The sequence below is a fragment of the Homo sapiens genome, chromosome 14 (assembly GCF_000001405.40).
Source record: "Homo sapiens chromosome 14, GRCh38.p14 Primary Assembly".
In the NCBI taxonomy this organism is placed as follows: Eukaryota; Metazoa; Chordata; class Mammalia; order Primates; family Hominidae; genus Homo; species Homo sapiens.
The window spans coordinates 84440658-84448040 of NC_000014.9; the positions used below are offsets into that span (position 1 = coordinate 84440658).

At 36.0% G+C, this 7383-nt stretch overlaps 1 annotated feature.

The window, feature by feature from the left end:
- Window positions 1740–2311: an enhancer, noted in NCBI's record as "NANOG hESC enhancer chr14:84908741-84909312 (GRCh37/hg19 assembly coordinates)". NCBI's record gives its function as "activates a minimal SCP1, AML or CMV promoter by ChIP-STARR-seq in naive H9 embryonic stem cells {active_cell/tissue: H9 hESC(naive)}" and the evidence as "EXISTENCE:reporter gene assay evidence [ECO:0000049][PMID:30033119]".

The window sequence follows — 7383 nt, forward strand, 5'->3', positions numbered from 1 at the left end:
ATCACACCTTATACCAAAAATGATCTTGTATGTGTATTTTCAGTGTTCATAATTATATCCATATTACATTTCAGAAAGAACAATTGAGAGTCACATTTAGCTATTTTTATTGTCTATTTATTTCATACATTCAGCAGCGTTATCCTCATTAATATATAGCTGTGCATTGCCTCTCAAACAGGGTCATGATATAAGTATGCAGTATTTTGTCTTTCCATTATGAGTTAGCCATTTGCAAAACTGTGGACTATGGAAAGGGCACACCCGTAGAGTCATGTCTTGCTCTTTTCAGTGCACTTTGACTCTCTTTTCCCAGACACCTGCTCTTTTTCTCTCCTCAGTAGCACCAGTGTGTCATAGTCCCTTTTGTTTAATAAAGGAAAAAATTCTGAATACATTCACACTAAAATATGATGTGAGTTAGTATTTATTTCTTTTCCACGCTTGCTTAGGAAGGCTAAGGCATAGCTGAAAGTCAGAAATGTTTACTGAGTGCTGGATTTGAGGCACAGTGGCACTTGAGAATGTCATTCTACAGTCACAGTTTTGCAGCCCTCCACAATGGGACACAACTGTGTATTTCTGAAGGCACTATCTGTTAGAGAAATGTGTTGAAAAATCAAGTTCCTGGCAAAGGAGAAAGCTGTGTCTATTAAGCAATGATTCCCAGCAAACCTTTCTCCAGGCTGATAAGTAGGTTTGGCTCTTTGAAAGCCTTCTCGTAGTCCATTAAGCAGCATGAGCATCCTCTAAGGAATAATGTTCACTGATGATCACATTGTTGATATAATTAAGGTCCCTATACATAAGGACTTTAAATACCTATTGTTGTGTTTTGTCGTTTCCTGAAATTTTTCTTTTTTGATATTTTTCTAAGCATAGGGTTCATGAAAAGGTGAATGTTAATCACAACATTTGAGAAAAGTCCCTTAGCTCATTATGTGTGATGGATATGTGAAAAATAAGCTTAAGCTATAGTCACAAATGTTTCTTGTGACTTTTTAGTTAATTATGATAACTTCCAGAAAAAGAAAAGAGAGAGTAACTTTGAATTTAGTGCTTTTTATAGGAAACCATGCACTTGCACATTTAAACATTTTGCGTTTTCCTGATTTGCATACCTATTAAAGCTTCAATTTAGCAATTTTTTTTTAGCATTTTATTATTAACAAAGCTGACAATCTGGATAAGTTCACACCTCATAGAAGTCAGCAGGGACTTTTAATGCATAAAGTATCTAAGGACTCAATTTGTGATTAATTTTTTTAAAAACTTTTTTTCAAATGTATTAAAAGGAACATACAAAACCTTTATTTTTATGTTATCTTCCTTTATTTTAAAATCCATACACAATATAAAAAGCCTAGTGCAACATCAATTTAATTTGTATAAGTTGTATGCCAAAGAAATTATGAGTCAAAAAAGATAATTTTCTTCAAAGACAGAAAAACACATGCTTAACTACAATTGCATTTTAAATACTGGAAGTTCCATTCATCTTACTCAATAGTTTATTTGCCTTTTAAAAGATTAAGATATTTAATTATGTTCATATTAACTTTGTATAGCAAACATGCATGTGATTAATGATTTTCAAAATAAAAAACTGAATTGGGGCCTTTCAACCTAATACAAACTTATTTTTAAATAAATCATTTCTTTTATTTTCTAAGGAAACTTTGTCCAATATATACAATTAAATGAATGCATATGCAATTCCGAATCAGTAATAAGTTTTGTTTTAAATAACTTTGGAGATAATTTATATATTATACTCAGCTTTCTGCAATTGATTAGATTCTACTCTAGTTTGGGAGTAATGTGATACTAAAGATGAGCTAAATATTCGTTTGTCCTGAGGCAGAAACTGGTTGAATACACAATTTTTTTTTTTTAGCTTTTCAATAACTGTTTAGGCATTGTGCAGATAGCTTAACAAGAGCTCAACTGTTTCAGCTTCTGCGGCAGCTTTGGCTACTCCAAGGGAAAAACAAATATAGTAACACAATCAAGGATAATGCATTACGCATTTCAATCTATTGTTTTAGCTTTTGTTGGCCCTCTCCTTGCCAAAGTCAACATAAAGGAACTTTAAGTCGTCAATGAAGTGCTGACAGAGAACAAATGTTGCCCCGAAGTGCCAACATATATCACTGTTTGTATATGTAAAGGCAAGCTTCTCAGTCTGTCGTTTTCATGTTGGTTTTAAGTCTGAGGCTGAACATGAACTAATACACTAGGAAATGTCAAAAAGAAGATGCTGACACTTCCACCCCAATGGCAGGCACAGAGCAGGTGCTCTCCAAATACTTACAAGTGCTGTCTTTACATTTCATGATATGTCATCGATATGCATTCTCATGTGTATAAGTATTAAATCTCATCTTTGCTTGTTATCCACAGTGCATAGAAACAGTTCTTTATGCATAAGCCACACTTCTCCTTCCCTAACATTGTTTTGCTCTTCAAAAGCCAGCATCTGATCCACTGGCCTACTTTTCCATAGCTACATTTGGAACATACCTCTCCTTGGCTCTTCAGGAAGCTTTTGGTTTTGCTCAAAACCAGCTCTGAGAGAACTGTCATCGCGATTTCCTGGGTAAGATTAATTCTAGGGCCTGCTGGTCTCTTGGCCAAGTTTATTACTAATAATAAATCACTATTCAGATACCCATTTTCTCTGTCTTACCTCTTTTTCAGTAGTCTAAGGCAATCTTCTTTAACCCTCACTGACACGATGCTCAAAATTTAATAGGTCTTGCTCCTGCCTCATCTATTCTGAGAACTCCCACTAATTTCAGTGTACATGTTCATGCCCATATAGAATTGATCGAAAGATTTTGAGGTGTTAGCCCAAGCTGGAAAATTAATGGAAGTTGAGCAGACTTTTGTGAAGGAATTAAAACAGTTGTCAACCAAGAAAAGGTAAAAGACCAGACTGCAAAGCAGTGAGGCAAGGCATTATTCAGGTTTTAGGAACTGTCATTTGGGAGACACAGATTCAGCCAAATTGTGTTCCAGAGAGAGAAAGGGGAGTAGGGATTTTATGTATGTATGTATGTATGTATGTATTTATTTTGAGATGGAGTTTCACTCTTGTCTCCCAGGCTGGAGTGCAATGGCACAATCTCGGCTCACTGAAACCTCCGCCTCCTGGGTTCAAGCGATTCTCCTGCCTCAGCCTCCTCGGTACCTGGGATTACAGTTCCCTGCCACCACGCCCAGCTAATTTTTTGTATTTTTAATAGAGATGGGGTTTCACCATGTTGGCCAGGCTGGTCTCCAACTCCTGACCTCAAGTGATCCACTTGCCTCGGCCTCCCAAGGTGCTGGGATTGCAGGCATGAGCCACGGCGCCCAGCGAGTAGGGATTTTTAAAAGGAAGCTAAGGGTGATTACACAAGTTGTTTTGAAAGACTTATCACTCATTGGTGGAGGTGGCTGGCATAGTGCATAAGTCCATAATTCATTATTTGTTGCTATTCAGGAGTCACAGCAGTGGTGAAATCCACCTGTTTTCCAGGATGTTGTGGTTGTGGCAGTTTTTCCCAGTTCAAGGGTTCACGACAAGTTCCTGGTCCCCTCCCCTCCCTTCCCCTCCCCTCCCTTTCCCTCCCCTCCCCTGCCTTCCCCTCCCCTCCCCTGCCTTCCCCTGCTCCCCTCCCCTTACTTTCCCTTTCCTTCCCCTCCCTTTTTTGCTTTTCTGGTAGAATTGCAGATCGTGTCAGTAGTCCTTTTCAGGATGGCTTCCTGACCTCCTGATTCAATTTTCGAGCTCTGAAACGGTGTCATTTTGTAGATCACATTTCAACCAACAAACAAACCAATACAAAAATCAGTCATTTCTTGGTGTGACCTACTTCACATATATGTAAATTTTAGAGCCAAATAATTTCATTTTGAAACTGTCCTCTCATCAAAATTTCTAGTTTATATAGACTTTGACGTGCAGGACATCGTATATTGTCTGAGTTTTGTTAAGTACCATTATATCGACAGACTTTAGATTGTAAAGCAGATGCTTGACCTCTTTAGAGCTTCCATGGGTTAGAAATGTTAGTAATCTATACAGCCCTTGCTTGTCTCGTTTGCCTGTCAGCTGGTGTTTAAGCCATTGCTCCTTACTAGCTCTTGATGTGTTCTTAGAGAAGGAAGTTTTGCCGACCTGAAATTACAAATGCAAAGAAGCACCAGATACAACATCACATAGTTTAGAATAAAGCCTTTTTTTTTTTAAATCCTGTATTTGGGATTACCAAGTCAGTTTCCCCTTGTTTTACACCAATCAATTAAAAGCCAAATACTTTGGTTTGGGGCTACACTAATTAACATTCTTGTCTATCCAAGTGCAATTCTGCTCATTCTTTATAAGAGCAACCTGATTTAGTCTAAGTTAAACGCAATATATTTAGGGAAGATATCTACTTATCTTCCTCCTCTCTTTTCTCCTAACCATGAATGATACGCCTTGATTCATCTGGCCATGCAATTCCACATTTCCAGTGATGGTGAAGAGATGATCTGCTGGTGCAAATGAAACTCGAGACAGCCTGCTGAAGGCTTCTGGGAGGATTATTCTTCTTTATAGGAAAGAAGAAAAGTGAAGAGAGGAAATGGGAGAGAGAAAAAGAAAGATGTGAGGAGAAATTACTATTTCTACCTTCTTGTTCTTCCCTTTTTCTCCTACATTTTTCTTCCTTGGATAGTGGGCCTAGCATCATCTAACTGGTGAATTAGCCAATCCAAGGATACTCCTCCTTTTGCACATCTTGTCATGTGGTTTTTGTTGTTTGTGTTGTTATTGAAACCAAAAATATGGTTTATATGGAGACATAATATTTAAAGACCAATCAAAAGTTAAGAGCTTCAATGTCTGCACAATTTATCTGTGACAAACGTTCAAAGGTTTATGAAGCATAATGCAGAGGAATAGACTTTTCTTACAACATATAAAGGCTGGCCTTATATAAATCTACCATACAAAAGAATTATTCAGGCTACATTAGTCTAAAATACAGAACAGTTTACCCCCTGCGTGATGCCATAGTGTTTGACTCATGCTTTTATTACAGAACTCATCAAATGTTTTTATAAAGAACAATATCTGTGTCTGTCTTCCTTGCTAGTCTGTGAGCTACTTGATATTTTTATATCTGAAGTATCCTTCATATGGTGTATACTCAGAAATTGTTGAATGAAGCTGAAAAGTGTAATACATATATACATATAATACAAAAGTTATGTACATATATATGTAACTTTTTGCAGCCTTTTCCCTCCCCAGTTTTAATTACTCATAAGAGACAGGAGATAGTGCCTAGAATTAACTAATATGTATACACACATGTACACATATAAATGTATATATTCAGTGTTATTGCTTAAGCCCCACTTTATCTTCTTTTGGAATTTAGTAGGCAAGGATTGGAACTCTTCATTTTGATGAAGCCATGGGCATTTTTGTTGATCACTGACTTTTAAGAACTCCTTGATTTAGCAATACGAAATAAAGAAGCGAGGATAAATTGATTGCAAAGCTCTAGATTGTTTCTACTAATATCTTAATTGAGAAATAGAAGGATTCTCAGTAAACAAATGCCATTCTTTCTAGCGAATCTGATGAATTCTAATGCAAACAACTACAACAAATTCAGTAGCCTCAAAAGACATTCCAACAGGCCTCTGGACCCTTCTGATTTTCTTTATTATCTTGTTCACTTTCACATCATTTTCACTCAGCATGCGCTCAATTCAGTCTCATTTTAATGGATTTCCAGTTGGGAAAGTATAATATTCAGAGCTATCAGAAGCAGGTCCTTTCAGAGATACGGCTGTGGGAAGGTTTCATTTATCATTCCCTAATCATTGAAATATCAATGAGAATGACTTAAAGTCCAAGTGACAGTTATACTTTCTGTGTCTCTTCAGGGCAAAGTGAACTGAAACTCCATTAGAGAAGAAAATAAGGGCCATTCTCAGCCAGGGAGTTCATTACCATGATATTTTTCTGTGATGCTTCTAAATTGTTTTTGTGGCTGGACTTGAATTCATAAGCTCTTTATACAGCTCTAGTTCACTTTAGTTATTTCAAATCATTTCTAGCATAAGGGTCTCAGTGAAGGCCCACAAAATATATTCAAATAAATGAAAAGTTTTGGTTACACTGTTTTATTCAAATATATACCCCCTAGGGAATTTTAATAAAGATAAACTAGAGAACGCAGCCTTTACGTGGAAACGAATATAGTCATTGTGATTAGTTTCCTGACTCCACAAAACAAGTTACTTATAGTTTTCAGATCCTCAATGTTCTCATCTGAAAAAAAGGGTCATACTATTTATTTTAGAAGATCATTTTGAAAACAAAGAGAAAATACCTACAAAGAATTTTTTGGTAGGTGATAAGTATGTACTTCATAAAAGTAAGCTAAATATTAATATTTAGACTGTTTTAAAATAATTTGGTGGACCTTCCATATTCCAGGTGGATACATGACTGTATTTTTGTAGGCTGTGTGAGTAAATTTATTAAAAGACCAATCATTATTGGGTAACTCTTTAAATACTCTGAATTATCTGATAATAATTTTTTTGGTTAAAGCTAGTTAATGAGTTCATTCCTCTATTTTTATTGAAATTGTGATTATCCTTAGCAAACATACTACTTTTTGAGCTATGGGTTATAGAAATATATGAAGATAGATCTCCTGACCTCACAGTTTATAAACATAACAAAAAAAAAACATATAAAATAGTTGTATATAAGTAGTAAATAAACTAATAGAGAAGTAAAGTTAGATACAATTAAATATAATAAAAGACTTAATGGCATATCTCCTGCAAGTGAGGGAATCACTAAACAGAAAGTATGTATTGTTTTTTTTGAGACAGAGTTTTGCTCTTGTCGCCCAGGCCGCAGTGCAATGGTGCAATCTCAGTCCACTGCAGCCTCCATCTCCCAGGTTCAAGCGATTCTCCTACCTCATCCTCCTGAGTAGCTGGGATGACAGGCACCCACAACCATGCTGGGCTAATTTTTATATTTTTAATAGAGAAAGGGTTTTACCATGTTGGGCAGGCTGGTCTTGAACTCTTGACTTCCGGTGATCCACCTGCCTCGACCTCCCAAAGTAATGGGATTACAAGCATGAGCCATCACACACCCAGCCCAGAAAGGACATATTATTGTTCAATTAATTATTTATTGAATTCTTAGCAAAAGTTAATCTGTTAAGATATTATTGAGAATCTTCAAAAAAGATTACAAACCAATGTGCAGTAAAGGAGTGATACACAGATTAAAATGAGTACATTGAACTGTATAAAAATTAAAGAAAATAGGAAATTTGAAAAAATATTTTAATATATATAGTAGATATTGGA